The following is a 26,564-nucleotide window of genomic DNA, read 5'->3' as shown; positions in this document are numbered from 1 at the left end:
ATTTATTTGTTTTTCTCAGAAAAATTTTACAAATTACATCTTAAATTTTGCAATCTTAACCATATTCTTACCTTTGTCAAGTCACAAGACATAGGTAGGAATGAAAAACATATTGAGTTGATTTTCAAAGATGCCTGCTGTAAGGATGGTGAATTTTTATTTTTATCTAGTTGCAAAGAATAGCAAAGTTATTCAAAAGGAAGAAGACTTCTATGGAAAACTAGTTATAGGAGATAGGTAAAGAGGTGAGGAACATTACTAGTTTTTGTGACAATGATAGAATAAAATTTTTTCATTTTCCAAATAAACAAAAAAGGGAAAAAAATACTGGTTTACTCCATTTGAAAAATAATTCAAGGAATTTAGACACAGAATAAATTTTAACAACACAAATTTCTGATCTCATTTATTTTACAACTTTATTAGCAAAATGTACTAAGCTATTTCGTAAATTGATGTATCAATTGTTTTCTATAGCCTTGTCCTAGCCAGAGTCAATAGTTTTGCAAAATATATTTTACCAGCAAAAAAAATATTTACCAGCAAAAGTGCAAGAAAAATCAAAGTGAACTGAGAACTTAAAAACGAGATTTGGGAGGCTGAGGCGGGCAGATTGCGAGGTCAGGAGTTCGAGGTCAGCCTGGCCAACATGGCAAAACCCCGTTTCTACTAAAAATACAAAAACTAGCTGAGCGTGGTGGCATGTGCCTGTAATCCTAGCTACTCAGGAGGCTGAGGCAGGAGAATTGCTTGAACTCAGGAAGTGGAGGTTGCAGTGAGTTGAGATCACGCCACTGTACTCCAGTCTGGGTTACAGGGCGAGACTCCGTCTCAAAAAAAAAAAAAGAGTTTTGCTTTCAGCCATCTTTGTGGTTTTGGTGAGTAAGTGACAGATCAATTCTGAGGTAGTTTCCCACTTAATGAAATGAGATAAGGTGAGATGATTAAAAGAGCATTTTTCCTTTTGAATGTTTTAAACAATTAACCAAAAATACAACTAAAATATATATATTTCCAAAAAATCATGTTTAACAATTTGGCTTATGAATAACTAACTACATCATTAAATTTTATCTAAATTGTGACTTTTTGGGGCTTTTGGAATCGTGAGAATAAATATTCACTATGTAGGTTTACGATGTATTGCTTTCATTAAAGAAACTAGATGTAATATTAATATGAACATTGGATGTAACTCTAATATGAATATCAGTAGGTGATAAGTGCAAGAAAATTTTCCCTTATTTTGTTTAGAACATTAAGCAAGATATAGTTGTTGATTTTATAAGAATATAACCATTCCTAATTACTTAACCTTGTGTGTAAACTAGCCAATAAAGAGTAAGCTCCCCTTTCTGATTTAGTAATACGAAGGGAGAAGGGGCATTTGAGAACCAGCTTTTTTTGTTTTGTTTGTTTTGTTTGTTTTTTTACTTTACAGCAAAAGAGAAGACAAAGGATATATAAAAGCTATGACTCAGCCTTGATATCATCTTAGGGATATTGCATCTTTTTGTTAGTCAGGACATCTGACACCTGATTCATTCTCTCAATTTTCCCTTAGTATCCAAACCATATACTTTACCAACATTTTTCCTGATGTCCTGGAGAGTGTCTAGACTTAGAACAACCTGTTGTTGAACGAAGAGTGAACATAAAGGGAACATGGAAGTTGCTATTATTTGTTCACTGCACCTCTGATAAGAACAAGTTGCTTTAAGACCCTATATATTAATTCAACTTATACAAATGGGTAAGTCTAGAGAAGAAGGTTAGCTCTTTATATTGCTTAAACAGGCTTTCCTAGGGGCTCAGTACCATGTCTAGGATTAAAGTATGGCCCAAAAGGTGAATTTTAGACACACTTACACTTCTATCTGAAATAATTTTAAAAATTGAGAAAATTATAGGAAGTAATGGTTTTCAAGACATTAGGCAACACAACATAATACCCCTGAGATTTGCAGAAAAAAAAAGATAGAAACTGTATAATTGTCCTGGTTTATTGCCTGGAGACAGTTTCTAGATTATGGCTCAGGAGAAGTTTGATACACTCTCATAGTTATGAGAGTCTGATTGAGAGTCTTGGGGAGACCATGGACACAGAAGTTTAGATGGCATAGTACTGAAGAGGTGAGAATTGTACAGTGACACACTAGGACAATGTGCAGAGGGTCCTCATCATCTATTCAGCAAAGTACTAATCAAAACATGTATGTGAAGAAACTAGTCTGACCCATTTACAAGAACTAGAGGAGATAATACCACGGTTTACACAAAGCCAGAAATTGGACCTATTCTCACTTTCCAAACTGGACAACTTCATAATTCTCAGGGTATTAGTTAGAGTGTGCAGAAGAATCTTGCCTCTGTAGTGAGAGATCATTATCAGCTCTGGACTAAACGCTACTTTTATTCTACCTAACATATTTTAAAAGCAGGAACAAAGAGGATCAAATAAATTGCAGGTAACTTAGCTGTACCCAAAAAGACAGCTCAAGAATATTTATAGTATACAGATGAACCCAGCACTCAACAAGGCAAAATGTACAAATTGCGAATATAATAAAATTTACCCAACATGATATGATGGAAGAAAATTCGATTCATAATGAAGAGAAAAATCAATCTATTGAAACTAACACAGAGCTAACATAGATACTAGAGCTAGCAGGGAAAATATTAATTATTGCAACTCTATCTCATATGCTTAAAAAGCTAGATGAAAGAGAAAACATATTAGGTATATTCATTGAAGATGTAAAAATATTAAATTTGTAGAGATACAAACTTTAAGGTGCAAGATTGAAAACAAACTGAATGGGATTAACAGGAGACTAAACATTACAGAAGGCTAGATTAGCAAACTTAAAGATGTAGCAATAAAATTACTTGAAATTAATCACAGAGAGAAGAAAACCAAGAAAAAAGACAAGAGCATCAGTTTATGTGGGAAGAACTTCAAGTGGCTTTCTACATGAGTAACTTGAAGAGAACTTCCCACTTCCAGGGAAGGGAAGAGAGAGAGTGAGAGAAAGAAGTATTTCCAGAAACAATGGCCAACATTCTTCTAAATTTGATTTAAGTTATAGACTTACAACTTCAAAAAGGCCAGTGAACTGCAGCACAAGAAACATACAGAAAACTTTGGTATATTATTATTAAATTGCTCAAGACCTATGATAAAGGAAAAAATGTAAAGGCAGCCAGAAAAATAAAGGCACTTTACATACAGAGAAATAAATTCTGGCAATTAAAATATGCACAAATAAGAACTAATCAATAAAGATGTCAAATATTTACCTGTGTATAATGGCCACAGACTCTGGAGCATGATAGACTATCAAAATCATAAAATTGGGTTTCATTATACCAAGCCGTAATGGCATGTCTTGGTGTGAATGACTTTATTCCACCTAACCAGATATTTTCTCCAACATATTCAAAAGCTGCATAGCATTTATATGATTTATCCAAACAGTCATTATGTTCAAATTTGCACTGGTTTGCCCATGCTTTAGCCATCTTTGCTAAACCTTTATCCCAAATCTGAAAGATAAAAATAATTTAAATTGAATTGTGCATAAGTATTTGCATTAAATTATTCTAATTATTGTAATCAACTAAGTTTTGCTTAAATTTATTATTTTAATAAGATGTAGTTTTTCTTTGGTATTTATTATGTGCATAGTTAGTGATTTCTTTTTAGTTCTACTTCAGAAATACTTATTTATACTCACTCTATGACAGTTCATTGTTATATTACCTGTACTTAGCAGATGGCCTGGTACATTAGAGTCACTAAACAAATAAATCGGAATGTGATTAAAATAAGCCAGAATTCAAAGTCTAGTAATTCAGAAGGTCATGTTAATTTATTACAATTAAAGGATGAATACTCATTGATAATTAAAAAGGGCAAAAAACTAGGAATAGAAAGAAAAAATCCCCTTAATTTGATAAAGATAATCTACAAACAAACAGACAAAAATCTTATCAAATGGTGAAATACTAAAACTTTCCCTCAAGATTAGGAATGAAACAAGATATCTGCCCTTGTTATTTCTATTCATTATTGTACAAGAAGTTAGGTAGTATAATAAAATACATGAGTTGTAAATACATAAGACAAAATATATAAAATGTATAAGGATTGGGATCTATCATTATTCACAGATTACATGACTGGATACATAAAAATTTAAATTAATACATAAACAATACTATAAAAATAAATGAAGTTATCAAAGTTGAAAGATACAAGGAAAATATGCAAAATCTATTATATATCTATATATTCTACAAATGAATAGCTGCAAAACATTCAATATGTATAAATAAATTTAATAAGTGATATACAAGATCTCTATGCTGAAAACTGCAAAAACGTAACTGAAAGAAGTTGTAAAAGACTTAAATAAATGGAGAGATATAAAATGTTCATGGACCAGAATATTCTGTATTGCAAAAGAATATTGATTATGACATATAATTTTATTTCTAATCAAACTCCAAGTAGCTTTTTTGGGGTGGAAATTGATTACAAAATTTATGTGGAAATGCAATGTTCCAAGTAAAGCTCAGACAATCTTTTAAATGTAGAATAAAACTGGAGACTTTCTCTACCAGATATCAATATTTATCATAAAGCTACATTAAGATATTGTCATATTGACACAAGGGTAGACAAATAGCTCAATGGAACAGAACAGAGTCCAGAAACAACTCATCACAAAAGCAACAGTCTTAATGTAGGTATAATTGCCAAGGTTATTTTTAAACATCTTTTTATTTTTAACTAATTATAAATTCACAAGAAGTTACAAAAATAATACACAGGGGTCCTGTGTAGACTTCACCTACTTTTCCCAATGGTAATGTTTTTTGTAACAATAGTATGATATCAAAATAAGAAATTGACATTGGTATTATCTACAGACCTTTTAAAGATTTCAACAGTTTTACATGCATTTATTTTTGTATATGTGTAGGTTTATGTGATTTTATCACATGTATAAATTGAAGTAATCACTCCCACAATATCTAGATACAGCACTGTTTCAACACCACAAGGATCCTTCATGCTAACCCATTAAGTCACAACCACTCACTACCCACACTATCTTTAACCCCTGGCGATCACCAATCTGTTCTTCAGTTCTGTAATTTTGTTATTTCAAGAATGTTGTATAAATAGGTGGCCAGGCGTGGTGACTCATGCCTGTAATCCCAGCACTTTGGGAGGCCAAGGCGGGTGGATCACCTGAGGTCAGGAGATCCAGCCTGGCCAACAGGGTGAAACCCCATCGCTACTAAAAATACAAAAATCAGCCAGGTGTGGGGGCGGTGCTTGTAATCCCAACTACTCAGGAGGATGAGGAGGAGAATTGCTTGAACCTAGGAGGCGGAGGTTGCAGTGAGCCAAGACCGTGCCATTGCCCTCCAGTCTGGGTGACAGAGACTCCATCTCAAAAAAAAAAAAAAAAAAAAAAAAGAGGCCGGGCGCGGTGGCTCACGCCTTTAATCCCAACACTTTGGGCGGCCGATGCGGGCGGATCACGAGATCAGGAGATCGTGACCGTCCTGGCTAACACGGTGAAACCGCGTCTCCACTAAAAATACAAAAAATTCTGCGGGCGTGGTGGCGGGCGCCTGTAGTCTCAGTTACTCCGGAGGCTGAGGCAGGAGAATGGCGTGAACCCGGGAGGCGGAGCTTGCAGTGAGCCGAGACAGCGCCACTGCATTCCAGCCTGGGCGACACAGCGAGACTCCGTTTCAAAGAAAAAAAGAAAAAGAAAAAAAGAATGTTATATAAATAGAATCCTACTCTATGTATCCATTTTGAGATTGGCTTCTCTTCACTCAGCATAATGCCTTTGAGAGCCATGGGGATGTTACATGTGTTGATAGTTTGTTCCATTTAGTGACCAAGTCATATTCCATGGTATAGATGTACCACAGTTTAACTTTCATCTATTGATGGAAATTTGGATGTTTACAAGTTTGAGCTATTACAAACATGTATAGAGTCACTAAACTCCTGTTTCTCAAGAGCATTGAATCGGGAGTATCCATAAATATTTGTGAGCAGGTTTTTATGTAGCAATGTTTTCCTTTTTCTAGGAAAAAAGAAAAAGGAAAAAGTGCCCAGAAGTGCAATTGCAAGTCTAAGTCATATGTAAGTGTATGTTTAGGTGTTCTTTTTTTTTTTGTAAGAAATTGCCAAACTATTTCCTAGAGTGGCTATACCATTTTGCATTCCCACCAGAAAAGTAAGACTGATCAATTTTCTCCATATCTTCACCAGTATTTGGTATTGTCATTATTTTTTATTTTTGCTTTCCTAATTGGTGTGTCGTGATATGTCCTTGTGGTTTTAATTTGCATTTCACTAATGGCTAATGATGTTTAGCATGTTTTCATGTGCTTATTTTCCATCTGTATATCTCTGTGGCTAAATGTCAGTCTTCTGTTCATTTTCTAATTGAATTTTTTTCTTTTTTTTTTTTACTGTTGAGTTTTGAGACTTCTTTCTCTAGATAGGAGTTCTTTCTTAAATATATGGTTTGAATATATTTTCTCCTAGTTTGTAGTTTGTCCTCTCATCTTCCTAACAGGGTACTTTAGAAAGTAGAAGTTTCTTATTTTGATGAGGTCAAATTTGTTGACTTTTTAAAAATAGTTTTCGGTCTTGATAAAAATCAAAATAATTCATTATATGAGGAAGTTTCATCTAGCCCTGTCCTGAGGATTTTCTCCTGTTTTTCTTCTAATAGTTTTATTTAAATTTATGATTCATTTTGGGTTAATTTTTGCTCTTTAGGTCAAAGTTTTTTCTTTTCTTATAGGCATTAAATGGTGTTTCAACACCATTTCTTGAATAGACTATCCTTGCTCCCCTGAATTACTTTTGCATCTTTGTCAAAAATCTACGCAGAGGAAAATACGTCGTTTTTTGAAAAAGACACTAGCACACACATGTTTATAGCAGCACAATTTGCAGTTCTAAAAATATGGAAACGGTCTAAATGCCCATCAACCAATAAGTTAATAAAGAAAATGTGGTATGTATATATATATTTATACATATATATTTTATATATATGTGTGTATAAAATATATACATATAATGGAATACGACTCAGCCATAAAAAGGAACAAAATAATGGCATTTGCAGCAACCTGGATGGAGTTGGAGACCATTATTCTAATTGAAGTAACTCAGGAATGGAAAATGAAACATTGTATGTTCTCACTTCTAAGTGGGAGCTAAGCTATGAGGACATAAGAATGATGGACTTTGGGGACTCATGGGGAAGAGTGGGAGTGGGGTGAGGGATAAAAGACTACACATTGGGCACTGCTTGGGCGATGGGTGCACCAAAATCTCAGAAATCACCAGTAAATAACTTTTCCGCTGGGAGAACTGGCTAGCCATATGCAGAAAATTGAAACTGGACCCCTTCCTTACACCTTATCCAAAAATTAGCTCAAGATGGATTAAAGACTTAAATGTAAAACCCAAAATCATAAAAACCCTAGAAGAAAAATCTAGGCAATACCATTCAGGACATAGGCACGGGCAAATATTTCATGATGAAAACATCAAAAGCAATTGCAACAAAAACAAAAATGGACAAATGGTATCTAATTAAAGAGCTTCTGTACGGCAAAAGAAAGTATCATCAGAGTGAACAGACAACCTACAGAATGGTAGAAAATTTTAGCAATCTATCCATCTGACCAAGGTCTAATATCCAGAGTCTATAAGGAGATTAAATAAATTTAAAGAACAACCCCATTAAAAAGTGGCCAAAGGACATGAACAGACACTTCTCAAAAGAAGACATACATATGGCCAAAAAAACAAATGAAAAAAAGCTCAACATCAGTTAGCATTAGAAAAATGCAATCAAAACCACAATTGGATACCATCTTAGGCCACTCAGAATGGCAATTATTAAAAAGTCCAGAAACAGGTGCTGGCAGTGTTGCGGGAAAAAAAGGAACATTTTTACATTGTTGGTGGGAGTGTAAATTAGTTTACCCATTGTGGAGGACAGTGTGGCAATTCCTCAAAGATCTAGAGTCAGAAATACCATTTGACCCAGCAATCCCATTACTGGGTATGTACCCAAAGGAATATAGATCATTCTATTATAAGCATACATGCACATGTATATTCACTGCACACTATTCACAATAGCAAAGACATAGAATCAACCCAAATGCCCATCAGTGATAGAATGGATAAAGAAAATATGTGCTACAGACACACCATGGAATACTATGCAGCCATAAAAAGGAATGAGATCAAGTCCTTTGCAGGGACATGGATGGAGCTGGAAGCTATTATCCTCAGCAAACTAATGCAGGAACAGAAAACCAAACACCACATGTTCTCACTTATAAGTGGGAGCTGAACAATGAGAACACATGGACACATGGGGGGATCAACACACATTGGGGCCTGTAGGCAGAAGGCGGTGGGAGGAGAGAGAGCTTCAGGAAGAATAGCTAATAGATGCTGGGCTTAATACGTGGGTGATTGGTTGATCTGTGCAGCAAACCACCATGGCATATGTTCACCTGTGTAACAAACCTGCACATCCTGCACATGTACCCCAGAACTTAAAAACTGAAAAAAAAAATAACTTTTCCATGCAACCAAACATCACCTGTTTCCCCAAAACTATTATTAAAAAAACCTACAGGAAAAAATGGAAAAAAAATGAAATAAAAGGAATTGATGCAGAGTTTTACCAAATGGTTTTCATGACTCTATTGAGATGATCATATAATTTTTCTCATTGAATCTATGAAGAGTGGCAGACTGTAAACAGCAATTAAATTCCCCCAATCCAAGTCAGATTTCTCACAGATTTTTCATTTTCTGGGGAGTTTTCTGTTAATGGTGTTTCCAGTTTTGTTCCTGATTATGTTGATTAATTTTCAAGTCCTAATTCAACTTTTTATTCCTGAGATAAATCCCATGATATAATATTCTTTATATGTGTTGCTGGATTCAATTGATTATAATTTTGTTGAAGATTTTTTGCATCTATATTGAGCTATAATTTTCTAACCTGTAATGTTTTTTCTGGTTTGGTGTCAGGGTAAAAGTTGACTCATAAAGTTCCAAAAGGTTTTCTCTTTCAGTTTCACAAAGAGATTTGTATAAGATTGGTGTTGCTTTTCTCTTAGAATTCACCTGAATTTTCTGTTAAGAATATTTTAAATTACGTATTTAATTTATGTAATGGCATAAGACTATTTAGATTGATGAAGATGCAGATGAATGATCTCATTCATACATTGGTTAAATATCCCTGTTAAAAGATTTATATTGGGTTCAAAGTCAATCTCTAACCCCGGATTCTTTCATTTGTACAAGACAAAGAAGACAATAGTCGAAAAATAATAATAGAAATCAAAGAAATAAAAAAATAAGCAATACTTTTATTAGGCAAAGTTCAAGGATTTAATGTTACTTTATAAGACACATAGTACGGAATGTAATATTTATGAGACTTTATGTGATAAATAACATGGCACGCATATATGAAATAAAAATTCCAATCTTGAGGTAGGTAGTTTCACTGACGTATACATATGTAAAAAAAATTGTACATTAAAACTAGTGCATTTTATGCACTTATTCACTAGTAATCATTCAATAAACAACATATCAAAATATTGTGTCAATTTTATAAAATGCTGATTTTCAAGACATTTGTCCATTTATTTTCTTTATGTTGTAAAATTTATTAGTATAAATTTGTTCAAAATATTCTCTATCTATCCATTTAATGTGTGGAGTTTTTTAAAAGTGATTTTCCATTCCTAAAATTGATTTTTGAGTTGTGTCTTTCTTCATTAATCTTTTTTTTACTACTGGTTTATCAATTTTATTAATATATAGTTTTAAACCAACTTTTGATATTATTGATTTTAGTCCTCATACTTTTACTTTCAATTTCATCAAATTATGATCATCTTTAGTTTTTTAAAAATTTTCTTGTGCTTAATTTAAACTTGTTTCCTACCTTCTTGAGTTGAAAGAATAGGTCTTGATTTTTAACCATTCTTCTTTCCTAAAATATTCATTTAAATCTATACGTATGCTTCCAAACACTTCTTTTGCTATATCCCACAAATTTTGATATGCTGTGTTTCCATTAACATTCAAATCTAAATTATAGTAATCTCTATTATTATTTATTCTTTAACTTATGGACCATTTAGATATGTGCTGCTTGATTTCACATTTTGGGAGATTTTGCACACTTTATTTCTGGTTTAAGACTTTTTTTTCAGAAGATATAGGACAAAATTTCAAATACTGTTAATTTATTGAGACTTGTTTTATGGTTCAGCATATTGTTTATATTGATGAATGTAATGAATACTTGATAAAAATTTGTATTTTGCAGTGTGGTATAAATTGTTTAATGTCAATTAGGTAAAATTGTTTGATGTTCAAATCTTTTTTATTTTTACTGATTTTTACCTACTTGTTCTCTTACTCACTAAGATTAAAATCTCTATGACTGTTTTGTCTCTTTCTCCCTTTACTTTTGCCAATTTTTGTGTATTAAAATATATTATTACATTTATTTGTATTGAAGATTGCTGTGTCTTTTGTTGAATTAGCCCTTTTATTTTCCTAAATGTCCCCTTTTATTTCTGGTAGTTCTCCTTGTCTTAAAATCTACTTCAGTAGCCATAAATATAGCTATTCTATCTTAATTTTAGAGTTTGCATAATGTATTTTTTCCATCTTTTTACTTTAATCTATTTGTGATATGTTTCTGTTACAAAAGCATTAATCCAATCTGATAATCTTTATTTTTAATTAAAGTATGTAGTAGTCATTTGCATTTAATGTAATTTTAACATGGTTAAGTTTTAGTCTACCATTTGCTATTTTTAAATGATTCCCTCTTTGTTCTTTTGTTCCTTGTTCCTGTTTTCCAAAAATTAATCAAGGACTTTAGTATTCTACTTACTGGATTTTTAGCTCTACTTCTTTGTATATTTTTAATGGTTATCCTAGATATTAAAATATGCATTCTTAACTTCTCACGGTCCATCCAGAAATATTATTGTGATTCTTAACAATATAAGGAACTTTCAGCAGAATAATTCTATTGACACTTCACTTCATTTTTTATGCATTGGTTATAATGTGTTTAGTTTCTACATTATTATAAACTCCACAATTCATTGTTATCATATTTTGCTTTAAATAGTCAATGAGTACAAAAGAAATATAAAGAACATTTATTATATTTAACCCCACATTTACTCTTTTTTATCATACATTTACAATAAAACTCTAAAGGCATCAACCATATTAATACTAATATTAGTATTTCTGAATTCCGTTGAAGATTTATTTCTAGTTAATTTATGCCTTGGACAACCCCAAGCTGGTAAACATTATATATTAAAATATCTTAACAATTCTGCATTAAAGAGATTAGTTTATTCTTGTTTCATTTCTGATACATATTTGAATCTTTCTCCATCAAAATATAATTTTCTTATACAGTAGACTAGTACAGTTTTGAACTTATTTTAATGCCTGAGTTGTGATTTTATAATTACTTTTGTTTTCCACTGGATAGAAAAGAAGAAAGCTGGAATAGATATGAGTTATACTGTATCTACATCTGCATAGCACATAAAATAGACTAATACTATCAACGTTTATGCTCATAGTGATGCATTTATAAACAAGAAAAAGTTACAATGCAAGGGAAATTTCCAATCATACAATTCATAGTCAAGTATTTAAAATTTTGTAAATTCTATGGATTATTTAATAATCCAATGCTTTTTATGCTTATTCTTCAATAGAGTACTGTATTTTTTTCAAATAATACTACACATGAAGTGTTGTTTTGATCTTGGATTCATATGATATAAAAATAAGTAAGAGAACAAGAGAATCTCCATTCCTGGGCTATTTCTTTGGTATCTTGTATCTTGGTTGTGGGGGGTGGAAATTGCTAGCTAAAAAATGGAAGAAAGAAAACAAAATAATCCTGTGTTCAGTACTTATAACTTTAGTGGTGCAACAAAGCAACTTCCAAACACTGCTCCAGCATCCCCACCTTCCCCGCAAGAGGCAAGGAACAGCTTCAAGTCTTCCTTTCTTGTTCACTCCTATGACTCTGGAGGAGACAGCCCAACCAAGGTGTGAATTTTTTTCTTTTTAACTGCATATATGTAAAGTCCGGATTGAATTAGTACAAGTTAAGTCCGTGAAATTTATCACCCAGATACCTCAGGATGAGTCAGGGATTTAAGAGCCCAGCCCTGGTTCTTTCTCACCATGTATTTCATGTCGGCCGCGGGAGGGTTGACTTTGCCACGCCATTCGTTGTGGGCTTCTATGCAGTTGTCTATAAAGTGTGGGTCAGTGATGGATGGGATTTTGGAAGATGTAGTGGCTACCAAACACAGACCCAAGATCCATAAACAACTGAATTTATTCTTCAGAGCCATGGAAGGATGTGGAGGATGCGGAGGATGCCCTGACTGCGCGGACCAGTAACGGCTGGGGCAACCCGATTTCCCCACGCCCCCGCACCACGCTCTCCCTTGGCTCCATCCTGCCGCACAGGCTCGAGCCCAGCGCGGCTGGATCAACTTGTCAGTGTCGCTGTGGGGAAGAACAGGCAGCAGGGTTCCCCTTCCACAAAGCTCTGAGCTACAGGGGAAAGCTCTGAGTCGCCCTCTGGTGGAGGGAATTTCAACCATCCAAACTGCTTTCTGTGGATCCAATCTGTAATCTGCAGAGCGCGTCTGGATTGTAATACAGATTGCAATATGCAAGCCACACAAGTTAGGTAAAGAACAAGTGCGGGATGCTGACAATGGGCCAGTCGAGTGCAAAGCACTATATATTCGTTTCTTAGACGCAGCTTCCGTGTATAGATTTTTATTGTTCTAAATAATCTAGAATCATATTGCCACTTCCCTCAGAGATTGGGAATAGAGTAAGAATAGGCAATTCTTATACAGTGACATACAGTGATCCTAAATTATCAACTTGTCAAACATTTAATAATTTCCTTCTGTTTTTTCGTCTGAAGAGACCGAATGCTTAGATAGATAACAATAGATGCTTGGAAAATGTAGCCAAGTAGTTCCTCTTGACAAAATCTTCCCTTTTTGATAGTTTGGAACAGAGCCACTGTATGGTGACTGGTAGACTCCAAGAGTTGCTTTAATTGATACACTGAGACTGGGATGGACAGAGTACATTTGATTGTCTATTTTACCTGCAATGCAATATAAATCAACGTCATTTGGCTTAATGTTTTAAATTCATTACATCAGTTATATTGATATTCTGTAATAAACCAGCATTTTTCCCCATGACATTAATTTTTTTTAGTATTTCTATGTTTCAAATAAATACCTTTACTTAGTAATTTGAAGTTGTTTACAATGCTGTTTAATTCAAGTGAACACGTACTTACATCTGCTGAATGATCCGCCATAGTCAACCTTGACACAAAAAACAAAAACCAAAACAAACTACTTTGATGCAGCTACTATCTTTTTAAAAATAAAAAGCAGAAAATTAGATTATAAGAAAACGAAAAATGCAAGGATCCTAATGGAAATTCTACTGGGCAATAGATAATATATTTCTAGTCTACTACCAGCTAATGGAGAATTGCTGTATATACTACTTTCATATCACATACATAGTCCAAACTGAGCTTCTGATATCCCACACCCAAAGACATGAACATATATACGTGTGTGTGTGTGTGTATATGTGTGTGTGTAGGTATACAGATAGATAAATCAATACAGTTATATACATCTACATGTGTCTATATATATATGTCTCTTCCTGGATATAAAGATATCTATAGGCATATACACACATACATATACACACATACATTTATATATGTAAAGTTCTCTCTATGTATAAATCTGTTTGTATACACATATATGTGTGTGTGTCTGCCTATAGACATATATACATCTACACAGAGAGAGATACAGATGTCTATAGGCATATATACATATACATATGTTTGTATACAAAGAGAAAGAGAACTTTTAAGGAATTGGCTCACATTACAGTGGGGGGCTACAATAAAAAATCTGAAGTCCTAGGTATGGCCCAAAAGACACTACATAATCTGACCATGGCTAGTTCTCTGGCATTCTCTCCTGGCTTATTCTGCATCAGCCACATCCATCAGCTTGATAAGGATGCTCTCTCCTCAGCATCTTTGCACTTGCTGTTACTTTTGCCTGCAGTGCTCTTTATAGAGTTCCCTTCAGTGAAGTCTTCCCTGATCATTCTATATCCCCTGTCTGTCAGTGCCTATCCATTTAACCTGTTTTATTTTTCTTCATTGCATTAATTACCTCCTGAATTTATGTTATTTATTTTTTTAACATCTGCCTTCTCTATCAGATTGTAGCCTTCACCACAACAGTAGCTTTGTTTTCTTCATTGCTACATCTCTAGCACCTTGAACAGGAACTGAATCTTTAGGCTCTCAATAAAAATTGGTCGAATAAATAAATGAGTTCTCTTTAACTTTCTAATAATGTTGTATACAACTGTAAGCTTCTTGAGAGCAGAAACTATATTTTAATTGTTATATATATGTATATATACATATGAGGGGCTCAATAAATATTTTTGACTTAATCACATAAAAGGAAATGCTGGGTAAGCTTATATATTTCACTTTTTCTAACACTGGGTATATTTGAAGATAGAAGGTGTTCAGTGGATGTTTGTCAAATACATAAGTGGCTGAATGAACAAATAAATACAAAGATAAAGTAAAATATTTTCAAGTAGTAGGTACTCAGTGAATGTTGGCTGCATTAATGAATGATCAAGTAAATGAAAATTTAAAGTTGAGCTTCAAATGCAAACTCTTTTGGAACTGCAAAACAGTAAAGGTTGATAGGGATAAGGTTAATAGGGATAAAGGTTAACAGATAGCTAATTTAGTTTCATTTAGTGTATAGAGAAATTAACTGCCTGTAACAACAACAGAAATTTCATAGAGTAATGAATTTAAAGATTGGCAAAAGTAGAGTATATATAGTCAAACATAATCCAAGATTATTGCTCTTCTAAGAGACGTTTTTAATAAAATGTCTGAATTGTATACATTATGTTTTTTAGATCATGTTCCCAATGGCTTAGACAGCTATATTCAGAAATACTAAAACAATTTAGGTGTAAAAAGTCTAATTGCCAGGAATCAACAAGTGCATGTCCTAATGTTATTTTCTTGAACATCTATTTCTGGAATGGCCAAGGTTAGTTGGTGCACCAGAATTTTTAAGTTCTTTTATAACTTTTTAAAAGTTAAATTTAGGCCGGGCGCGGTGGCTCACGCCTGTAATCCCAGCACTTTGGGAGGCCGAGGGGGGCGGATCACGAGGTCAGGAGATCGAGACCATCCCGGCTAAAACGGTGAAACCCTGTCTCTACTAAAAATACAAAAAATTAGCCGGGCGTAGTGGCGGGCGCCTGTAGTCCCAGCTACTTGGGAGGCTGAGGCAGGAGAATGGCGTGAACCCGGGAGGCGGAGCTTGCAGTGAGCCGAGATCCCGCCACTGCACTCCAGCCTGGGCGACAGAGCGAGACTCCGTCTCAAAAAAAAAAAAAAGTTAAATTTAGCTTTCTGTTTTATTTTTATGTGTGTTTTCTGCTATTTATTTTTGCTTTTCTTTCTATGTGGGGGTAATGGATAGATGAATTTTATGGAGTGCAGCAGAAAAATACAGAGTGATTACATTATACCTCATTTCCTTCACTATTTTTATACTTTAAAAATTTATTTGTATTTTTACTCCCAAATTTGCACCAGGAAATACTGGAAATATTCACGTTTTGATACATACATTCTGAGGGGAGCTAATTTTGAAAAGTTACTGCAGATTAGAAAAACATGATTATGAAAGAACTGGATTAACTTTCATAAACTCTTACTTCTAATTTGAATATCTGACTCTTGGCTGTGTAATTTAGGAAAGTTAGTGCATATTAGAGTGGAGTGGATCCTTGGAATTATCTCAAACCAGCTTTTTCCCTTTATAGATGAGGAGTTGATGCCAAGATATTGTGTACAGAGCATACATAAAAATATTTAGGCCGGGCATGGTGGCTCATGCCTGTAAATCACAGCACTCTGGGAGTCTGAGGCAGGGTATCACCTGAGGTCAGGAGTTCGAGACCAGCCTGCCCAACATGGTGAAACCCCCTCTATATAAAGATACAAAATATTAACCGGGCGTGGTGGTGGGCGCATGTAATCCCAACTACTTGGGAGGCTGGGGCAGGAGAATCGCTTGAACCTGGGAGGCAGAGGTTGCAGTGAGTCGAGATTGTGCCATTGCACTCCAGCCTGGGCAACAAGAAGGAAACTCCGTCTCAAAAAAAAAAAAAGGCAAAGAATAAAATGCAGGTTTCTTGATTTCTAGGCCTTTGCCCTTTCCACACATCATTTTAAATTTTAATTATATATACACACACAAATACACATACATATATATGCAATTATTCATGTAATCATCTATATGTACATAGTCACACAAATTTAAAGTAATATCCATGTCTAATATCTATGTATCTCTATATAATATATTACAGTCTTTAAAAAAAATAAGTGCAAGCTCCTTGAGAGCAGATATTGTAGCATATGCTTAAATTTCTTCTCCTCAAAACGTCATTCTGGGCTCTGTGCACAGACAGGTGCCTTATGAAATATGTTAAACAGAATTCAATTAGACAAAGAATTACACAACAACCGCCGTGGATCCGGGCCGGGCTTTGGCCCTTTCCCTGCTCAGGAGAAGCGCGGGTGAGTGAGTCCGCTCCGGCTCCTCGCCGGGGTTTAGGGGCGCCGCGGAGCCGGTTCCCTGGGAGGCTGCGGCGGCTGTAGCTGAGGTTTCACCCCTTTGGGTTTTCCAGCCAGCAAGTACTTCTGAGAGCGTGGCGGGGTCTCCGGCCACAAGCTCAGTTCCGGTCAGCCAGGCAGCGGAACTGAGGAGGCAGATTGGCGGGGGCGGGAGGTGGCGTAGAACGAACAAGGGACTTGGGCCGACGACCTTTTCGTCCCTGGAGGTCAGAGTGTAATCAGAAGCCCTGCGCTGCGGCGCCTGTTGCCGGGCAACCTGCAGACGCGGGCCTGGACTGTCTAGACTGTCCTGTCTAAAGCTTTCTGAATGCGGTTTTTGGAGGAATCGCGCTAGTTTATACCTTTTCCAACTCTTCTAACTCTGGACCTCTTCTTACCGAGCTTGTTAGGTGAAATCAGGCTGACTGTCTCTTGTGCCCCTCGCCTGTCCTGTCCAGGAATCCCAGTTAGGTAGGGGATGGGGAATTCCTTCTGCTACACTGCAGGTGCTCTGAATTATAATATAATTTGGGAGCAGGGGGAGTGATGGGGTGAAAGGAGATATTACCCTGTTTTGCTTGAAATTAGGAATGACCTAAGTTTCAATTCAGATATCTGGGTCTGTAGTCGTCTGGGATCAACATAGACTTGGTCCCTACCTTCATGTAGCTTAAATACTAAATTGTATTTACATCTCTTTCTTTTTTTCTTATTTATGGGCTGAATTAAATCAGTTTATTTTTTGCTTTTCATTTTTTTCTGATTTGATATAAGTAACATAATAGCCAGTAATATTACTACCGAGAGAAGTGATAATAATTGGAAGTGGAAATAGTCATCCTTAAAAAAAAATGAGGGAAATGGGAAGTGTGTTCAGTTATTTTTGGTAGCACTAAAGACATTAGCCAACAGTATTTATTATATGCTAGCAATATCATCTCATGACATGCAGCCATTTAAGTGGGGACAGAAGCCATTTAGAAGTGCTTTCCCTTCCTTTTGCTACTCCCTATCTCCAACATAGCCCAGCTGGATATTCAGTGCTTAATGACAAAGACAACCCTTGGCATAGGTTTCAAAGATTCACTCACAGCCAGTTGTTTGCTGATTCTTGTGCCACCAAGTTTAGGTTTCTAATTTTTTAGTCCCTACAGCTCATTCCCCTCGAATTCTTCTATTACCTTTACCAGTGAGGATGTAGTACTGAAAAGAGATCTGAAACCCACGTGTGAATTCGGGTCTGCAATAACTGGCAAACATTTAGCGAAGTACAGTTCACTTTTCTGGATCTCAGCTGGCTCGGTTTGAAGATCAGAAGGTTGAGCTGTTTTTGTCTTTGAAGCCCTGTCAAAATCTTAAAATTATCTACATAGGGTGTCAGTTGCCTGACTGCTCTAATTCCATAGATCCGAAAGTGTTCCATGTATGACGGCATTGCCCTTTGAATACTCTTACTATATCTAAGTTAACCACTTTTGTGTTTTGTCATTCCGAATTGACTGACTTCACTTATTTAACAAACATTTGTTAAGTTCCTACTACATTGTGGGCTTTCTAAATCCTGAGACATAGGGTGAGCAAATATGAGGCTTACAGTCTAGCATTAAAGACTAATAGCTATAATGCAATGCTTTAAACATCTTATCTAATTGAAGACAGAATTTGTATGTTGGCATTGTGATTATGTTACAGTTAGATGCAGAGAAAGGAATCTAAGAATATGTGTAAAATGTATACATGTATTTTGCTATACATTAATTTACTTATTAACAAAATATTTACTACCCATGCTTTGTTAAGGGTGGGAGACGCCAACCTTCTTGGTCTTGACTGTTTATTAGGGGAAAGAAAATCTAATGACAGTGAAGAGTGAAGACTGTCCTGACTGGGGAAGTACAGGAACTGGGAGGACCTGGACATTTGAGGATTTACATGTTGCCGCTTTTTAAATTTGCAAATAAATTATACTGATTTGAAATGACCTATAGTGATTTGAAATAGCTATAAATGTTACTAGGATATAAATAATTGAGAGACTGATGTGTGGAGAAAATCACTTTGCTGATTGTTCAGCGTCCTTATCTCAACTTGGGTTTGTTAGCCAGAAATCATCATCGCGAATACAATAATTTGTGTGATTAAACAACCAACCCAACCCTGGCCTCCAAAACAAAACAACAGCAACTTTTAAAAGTTGCTTCTTTGTGAAAAATAGCTCTGGAAAGAAAGCCATCTGTAGTGCTATAGGAGAATTTTTGAATCTAATGATTTGTATTTTTTTTTCAGAATATGTTTACTATTGGTTGATAAGTCTCCTTGACTTTAGAGTGGAGTTCCAAGCTTATGGCAAGGAATTTTTAGAGGAAGAAGCTCTAGGGATGGGGTGAAGAGAACCATGTAGATAAATTAGTAAGGAATTGGGATATCTTTCACTGGGCATGAAATAAAAGTATATTTTAATAATATATTTTATTAATTTTATAAATAAAGTATATTTTAATAATTTTAATAAATATACTTAATTTTAATAAATAAAGTATATTGTAATAATAATGATGGCTACCGTTTATTGAATGTTACATTATTCCACCAGGAAAATTACTAACATTAAATTCATTTTACATATTACATAGAAACATTGGTTCATAGAGATTAAGTTTTTACTCAAACTTAAATTATAAGAAAATGGCAAAAATCAGGATTACAATGTATGTCTGTCTAATTCCAAGCTGGCAGGATGCCATGCTATCTTTCCTTTAAAAAACAAAACAGAAATAATTTACTATTAAAATAAATCTAAGACTATAGAAAAAGTATGGATAAATATTTAAATGTAAAATTATCCTTGGTAATATAAAGGTGAAGTATAAAATATAAAAAATTTCAATGAAATATATTCATTTGATTTTTATTTTGTACATATTTGCAAGTTGATTACTTTCAATATCCTTTTGTTAGCATTTTTACCAATCACCACATTATTACTAATTGGACCATTTACTCCATTTTATTCTTTGTTCTAGATGAAGAATACTGCTTGTTAAAAATATTTTCATCAGCCTACTCTGGCAAAACCAAAACTCATAAAGGTTTGGGAAATGAGTAAAGGAAATAAATGTATATGTCATGGTGGTATTAGAGAAGAGGGAGATGCATTAGTTTTCTATTGTTGCTCTAAAAATTTATTTAAACTTAGTGGTTTAAAACAACATAAATTTATTATTTTATAGTTCTGGAGGTCAGAAGTACAACATTAGTCTTAAGGGGCTAAAATCGAGCTGTCAACAGGGCAGGTTCTTTCTGGAAGCGCCATAGGAAAATCCATTCCTTGCCTCTTCTGCCTTCAGGAGGCTGCTCATGACCTCTTCCTCCATCTTCAGAACCAGAATGCCTAGCATCTTCACCTCTCTCTGACCTATGCTTCCATCCTTACATCTTCTCTGTCTCACTCTGTTCTTCTTGCTTCCCTCTTACAAGGATTCTGGTGGTTACACTGAGCCCACCAAAGAATCCAGGATAATCTCCCCATCTTAAAATTCTTAATTCAAACACATCTGAAGTCCTTTTTGCCATGTAAGGTGGTATATTTACAGGGTCTGAGGATTAAGAGATGGCCTTCTTTGGGGGCCCATTATTCATACTAACACAGGTCATAATGTAATTGCCCTATAAAAAGTTGATATTGGTAAAAGCACTAGAAGTGATTAACCTTATGATTTCTTTCCAGGTAGACTTGTTAGGTAATTTGTATGACTTATTTAAAATTAGAGTAAGAATTACCATTTAACATTTACTCTACCTTTTTCAAAGTATACTGCATGATAAACACAGGAACTCAAATGGATTTAGAGGTTAAAGGAGTTGCTGCCACTTCTAGGAGCCAAATTCAGCCATTCTTTGGAAGAAAGAAGCCTCTACAAGTATGTGAGCTCTATATAATTTTCTTCTTTCAGGATGACTTATAAATAATTTTTTTACCTTTTCTTCATGTTTTATGACTACTTATATTCACAGATATTTAGGATCAACATTTCCTAGATTTGAAGAATGGAACCACCAAAATTGAAGATAATGATTACTTGAAAAATTGCCACTGCTTGAATTAGTTTTATTTTTTAAAATTAAACTTATTGTATTATTATTGTTATTTAAGAATATTTGTTTAAGGAAAATATAAAAAAAGAAAAATAGTAGAATGGAATTTTTACGGTTGCTACTAATATCACAAAAAAAGCACAAGTCAGATAACATTTCAGAAATAGGGTATAAGTGCTGATGGGTGAATTATTTTCTATTTTCATTAACTTGAAGTTTTCCTAAGACTCATATATATCTTCTATTTCATGGTGGCTAAGCTTGCTGTAATTTTTATGACTTGCAGTTTTTTTGGCAATAAGATTGAATGTTTACAAACACATACATGTTTGTTACTTTCTTTGTCAAACCCTTCACTGTCTTCCCATTACCTTAAAAACAAGGTCTAAGTTCCCTAACTTGTACTATAATGTAACAGCTTGGCCCTACCCCCCCTCACACTCTGGATTTTACCCCTTTCCAAATGCTAACTCTTATCTGGAGGCCTGTGCAGTACAAGTTGTTTCCTAGCTGAACCAATTTTCTTTCTTCTCTTTTCATCTAGCTAACTCCTCCTCATCTTTCAGAACTCCTGTTAAAGGTTGCCTTAAGAAAAAAACAAAACAAACAAACAAAAAAACAAACAAAAAAAAACAAGCTTCCTAAATTCCCTAGAGTAGGTTGGGCATACTGCTATGTAGTTGCTCTGTTATAGACTTTTTTTTCCCATTATTGTTTATTTGAGAGAAAGTCTTCTCCAGCAGAGTGCTATGTGGTTAGGGATTATCTGTCTTACTTGCCTTTTTATCTGTGTCTCAAGCACAGTAGGAAGGGGCTTAATAAGTATTTATTATATAGAATTTACTGAGAAAAATTATAATTAGCTTTATTGCATTGACTTATTGTGTATCTCTTAAAGTATAAAGGGTATATTCATATTTATACTGATTCAAAAAGTTTTTTTTTTAATTAAAGCAAAGGTGGACTTCTGAGTCATGGACAAACCAGAATTCTTGCCCACCAGTGTAAGTTACGTTTCTTCACATTTGGACTGTTTAATGGGCACATATATAACATACATTGACTAGTTAAAAAACAAAGCAAAATTATAAATGTAGCTATGATTGTGAACCACAGAAAAATCTATATGCATATGGATAGCCTGAAAATTACTATACCAAAATTAAAATAGCTGTTGTGATAAGATGGTAGAATTATAGGTAATACTTCTTTGGTTTTTTATTTTCCTTAATATGTTTTACATTTTCCTGAAAAAGTGAAAATATTTGTTTATTTGGAAAATTCAGCTATATGCATTCATTAAAGAGATGTGTAAATTTTTATCCTTGTATAATTCATTTAGTTGGCATCAATTTAAGGATAATTATGTCTGTGCTTTAATTTTGAGGAGTATGACAATTTTATGAATCTTAAAATTATTTTATTTTTGGTTTAGAGTATATTAATTTATGTTTTATGTTGCATGTTATTTTGACTTTTAAAATTTGGAATAATATAATTTTTATATTCTTTCAAGTATTTTAGATTACAGAGCTTTTTTAAAAATAGAAATTAAAAACTTAGTAATTTACTAAGCTGAACCACACAATATTGACATTTCTGAAGATCAAAATGAATAAACATCAACATTTATGTGGTTCTGTGTGATAGATTACCTGTATGCTCATCTTGACATAAAGAATAGAGTTAGGTGCAAGCACTAGATCCAAGATATCGAGTAAGTAACAATGGCTGTGTCAGTTGTGTGCAGAGAAAAGTTTAAGGACTGATTTTCTGAAGGTGTATTATAAGTTTATTGTAAATTTTACTTGTTTATTATAAAGAAATTTGAGCATATATTAAGTTGATTATAGCTTTTACTGATATAAAGGATGTGTAGCAATCAATTTACAAATATTAATCAAATACATAGTCTCTCTCTCGTAGATTCCATGTAGCCAATAGATTTTCACAGAATTGTCTCTTTGTTTTGTTGCTGAACTCTGTATCTCTAGCTAACCTATGGTTGCAACTGATGAACTAGTGTAGTTCCAACATGAATATTGGTTAATATTTTTATTTACTTTAAAAAGTGACATGAGTGATTTCTTGGCTGAGTCAAATAATAGTTTTCAATATAAAACCATGTTTCTTCAGTGTATTTTGGGGCTATTCACTGTGTGACAGGTATAGACATGATATAATTTTAGGTTGAATCTGCATTATTAACATTTTCTCCACCACTTGTTAAAGTTTCAGAAATGAACCAAATATTAAACCAAGTCCTATTTGTAGCATTTGCCAATTTCAGTGTAAATAATCCCATCAAGGCTGTTTCAGTGTGCCTATATGACATCACTAAGCACAGCATTGGAAAGAGATGCACACTATTACACTACCATAGAGACGGGATAAACATAGATACATAGATAATCTCTAGAGCACAGATAATAGTGAAGTACAGTGAAATCATCAGGAAGTGATGAATTTTGAGTATTTATTTATTTATTTGTTTATTTTGAGACAGAGTTTCACTCTTGTTGCCCAGACTGGAGTGCAATGGCGCAATCTCGGCTCACCACAACCTCTGCCTCCTAGGTTCAAGTGATTCTCCTGCCTTAGCCTCCCCAGTAGCTGGGATTACAGGCATGTGTCACCACGCCTGGCTTGTTTTGTATTTTTAGTAGAGACAGAGTTTCTCCATGTTGGTCAGGCTGGTCTCGATCTCCCGACCTCAGGTGATCTGCCTGCCTCGGCCTCCCAAAGTGCTGGGATTACAGGCATAAGCCACTGCGCCCGGCCAAGTATTTATTTAATATAATTTAATTTAATTATAAATTTATATGTATTTTTAATGATGGATGTGTTTAACAACCAGTTAAAAATTACTGAACATTTAACAAAAGCCTATCACAAGCCAGTAGAAGCCATGGCACTATTGGTTTCAGTGTACCTATTTATAAAACATGTAACATATAAGATTTGCATTTATTAAAGTTTCATGTTAAAAAGTTACGGGATACATAGATTATGTCTTTCAGGGTCCCACGACTTGATTTGGGAAGCCTTGTTGACTCTGATGATGAGGTAATTTTTATTTAGTATTTAATATAATAAACATTAAAACACAATATTACACATAGCATATAAGAAATATCATTAACTTTATTTTTTAGGACAATTTTTCATATATTCCACTTAGTACAGCAAACCTGCCAAATTCATCTTCTACTCTTGGCTGGGTCACACCATGTCAAACTCCATATACTCAGTATCATCTAAATAAATTGGTTAGTATTTATTTGCTTATCAATTTTCAGAATTTTATTCTAAAATATTTATTATGTTCAGTCTATGTTTTGCCAAGTTTAAATATTTTATGTATTTAAATACCAAACCATAAGGTTGGTGAAATAATTTTTACTTGTTTTACATTTTGTCGCACATGGAAATTGGTATTTTAAAATTTTTAAATGAAATTGGTAAAGTACACATATATCCTAATATGGAATTGAGGAATTTTAAAAATATGGCAAGCTCTTAGATCAGATCTTGCTGCTTAAGCAATGTAAGACTGGTCTCTTGGAAACTGATTCATGCTTTAGGCTGCTGGGATACTATGGAGTAAGTAGCTATGCTCATTCCAGATTGTCTCCTTGAGACATGTTTATGCTTCAAACATATCTAGTGTTTTGCTCACAATTTGAATATAGATTCTGACTAGTATAGGTGTAGGGCTTTTCTGTTTTTGTTAGTCTTTTCATACAGCTGACTCTATTCATGTTCTTAGTTTCATTTTGGAAAATTGCATAAATAATACCCTGAAGCTTTGCTTCATCCTTCTCCTGTGGGTTAGACATGACTATCCTCAACACTTTTCAAGGGTTGGACTGGCTTTATAAAAAGCTCGTTTTGGAGTGCCTGTCCCTCCCTAGGTCAATACAATATGCCCTTGTATTTGTATAGCACTTCTTTTAGGTTTCTCTTATCCACTGACTCTTATTATCTCTCACTCGCATGGAAATGTGGTAGGGAACCAAATAATATTTCGGTCACTGTAAAGATAGTGGGAAAACAGAATGAAGGTTTCTGTAAGCACGTACTTTACTGAGTGGCAGCAAAATGGTTCAAAATATTTTTTAAGTAAAACTTTTATTTCCTTAATGCAAATTCAAATGAGGACATTTGTTTATTTTTGGTTTAAGAGAAAAACAAATTTTATTTGCAAATATTTCCATGTTTGCAAATAGATAGAATATATTGATATTCTAGAAATGACAACCAATCCTTCTCAGTATTAATGATCTTCAATTGCTCTATCTATTATGAAAAAAATGATTTACAGTGAAGTTCTTCTGGGGCAGAAGAAAAGCTTTATCTAAAACTCCTAAGAAGAAAGATAAGTCATTTTTTCTCCTCTTAAATGGATCTTCAGCTAGGAAACAAGGTATAAGCTTACTGGTATTTAAGGTAAGTGCCCATTCCGAGCAGTTCTGTCTGCTCTGATTGGTCAGTGATGCTGTCTGTACCAGTTGAATGTCTTAAATACCATCTCTGCTTAGAACATTGACTATAATGGTCATTTTTAAGGAATGGATGCTAAGGTAAGAGGTAAACCTGTTAATGCCAATAAGGAAAATTAATACTTTTTTTTTCTGATAGCATGCTTTTTTCTTTTTACCTATAGGATCAGAACATAATACCTGAAAATTTGCCAGCACCAACAGACAAATGTAAACTAAAATATCAGCAATGTAAAACTGAAATTAAAGAGGGCTATAAGCAGTATAGTCAGAGAAATGCAGAAAATACAAAATCAAATGTTACACATAAACAGTCTCCAAGAAACAAGATAGATGAAAAGGTAATGTATGAGGCTTTAAAAAATTCTAATGACATTTAAAGAAAACTGCACATATTACAGAAATCTCTTTTTGTGTGACATATCTTGCTATTAGTCATAATAAGTATAATAGCTAACATTTATTTCTGCATATCAAGGACTGTTGTAAATATTTTACTTACATTGACTAGTTTGTTTTTCACAACAAATTTAAAGGGTTATTGTCATCATTTTCTGACAAAAAAGTTATAGCCATATAGTTTTGTCACCTTTTCTCTGTTAGAAGTTTTTCACGTACCTTGGGATTAGAAATAAGACAGTATTATGTATTTTGTTGACGTAGCTGTCTTGAACTCAGTTGGTCTGACAGTCTAAATTTTAAAATTGATAAGTGATTTGAGACTTTATGGTGATCCTGGTTTGTGCAAAAACTACCATCACTTCATTACTGTCTTTTGTCTCATTATGGGAAATGATTTTTTAACATCATGTGTTGCTGAAATTGTTATGTTTTTATGTAATATTAGGTATAAATTCACTATTAATGAATATAATAATAAATTAAACATAGTAATTGTAATGCTTTCATAATCATACAGAAAAAGTCAATCTTGATTTTTAGAAGGAATAATTTGAAAAACATGATACTAGTGGCCATAAAGAAGATAATTTTTAATTTTAATTTTAATAGAATTTTTAATTCAGTTAACTTTCTATAAGAGTAATGTGTTTCCAGGGACGTT

At 34.0% G+C, this 26,564-nt stretch overlaps 2 protein-coding genes across 36 annotated transcripts in view, besides 4 other annotated features; one reads left to right on the top strand and one right to left on the bottom strand.

Annotated features, from left to right (window-relative positions):
* Positions 1-12,572, bottom strand: part of GLIPR1L1 (GLIPR1 like 1) — a 35,891-nt gene extending 23,319 nt beyond the window's left edge. For all 3 annotated transcript variants that reach the window (NM_001304964.2, NM_152779.4, XM_011538134.4), the window contains exons 1-2: positions 12,340-12,572; positions 3,304-3,549 (exon numbers count right to left, since the gene is read on the bottom strand). In NM_001304964.2, coding sequence (NP_001291893.1) covers positions 3,304-3,549; positions 12,340-12,513 — 420 coding nt within the window. In that variant the 5' untranslated portion in view covers positions 12,514-12,572. The remainder of the gene's footprint in view (positions 1-3,303; positions 3,550-12,339) is intronic.
* CAPS2 (calcyphosine 2) overlaps positions 1-26,564 on the top strand; it is a 114,923-nt gene that overhangs the window by 43,660 nt on the left and 44,699 nt on the right. For 10 of the 33 annotated variants that reach the window (NR_149156.2, NR_149158.2, NR_149155.2 and 7 more), the window contains one exon: positions 25,666-25,842. Coding sequence is in view for 19 of the 33 variants with exons in the window: in NM_001355026.2 (NP_001341955.1) it covers positions 25,666-25,842 (177 nt within the window). In the remaining 14 variants the exon portion in view is untranslated. Of the gene's footprint in view, positions 1-1,564; positions 1,754-6,123; positions 6,179-12,060; positions 12,203-12,507; positions 17,411-20,714; positions 20,825-21,953; positions 22,004-24,005; positions 24,066-24,154; positions 24,269-25,323; positions 25,449-25,665; positions 25,843-26,564 lie in introns of those variants that run through there. The other 23 variants (XR_944789.2, NM_032606.5, XM_011538890.2 and 20 more) reach the window with 16 other exon arrangements.
* Positions 5,026-5,525: an enhancer, noted in NCBI's record as "H3K27ac hESC enhancer chr12:75735497-75735996 (GRCh37/hg19 assembly coordinates)". NCBI's record gives its function as "activates a minimal SCP1, AML or CMV promoter by ChIP-STARR-seq in naive H9 embryonic stem cells {active_cell/tissue: H9 hESC(naive)}" and the evidence as "EXISTENCE:reporter gene assay evidence [ECO:0000049][PMID:30033119]".
* Positions 5,526-6,027: an enhancer, noted in NCBI's record as "H3K27ac hESC enhancer chr12:75734995-75735496 (GRCh37/hg19 assembly coordinates)". NCBI's record gives its function as "activates a minimal SCP1, AML or CMV promoter by ChIP-STARR-seq in naive H9 embryonic stem cells {active_cell/tissue: H9 hESC(naive)}" and the evidence as "EXISTENCE:reporter gene assay evidence [ECO:0000049][PMID:30033119]".
* Positions 12,726-12,835: a silencer, noted in NCBI's record as "silent region_4661". NCBI's record gives its function as "represses an Ori minimal core promoter by ATAC-STARR-seq in GM12878 lymphoblastoid cells {active_cell/tissue: GM12878}" and the evidence as "EXISTENCE:reporter gene assay evidence [ECO:0000049][PMID:35858748]".
* Positions 16,962-17,011: an enhancer, noted in NCBI's record as "active region_6667". NCBI's record gives its function as "activates an Ori minimal core promoter by ATAC-STARR-seq in GM12878 lymphoblastoid cells {active_cell/tissue: GM12878}" and the evidence as "EXISTENCE:reporter gene assay evidence [ECO:0000049][PMID:35858748]".

Source organism: Homo sapiens, chromosome 12 (genome assembly GCF_000001405.40).
Source record: "Homo sapiens chromosome 12, GRCh38.p14 Primary Assembly".
Classification (NCBI taxonomy): domain Eukaryota; kingdom Metazoa; phylum Chordata; class Mammalia; order Primates; family Hominidae; genus Homo; species Homo sapiens.
The sequence above is the reverse complement of the archived record's forward strand: the minus strand, read 5'-3'. Positions and strand labels throughout refer to the sequence as shown.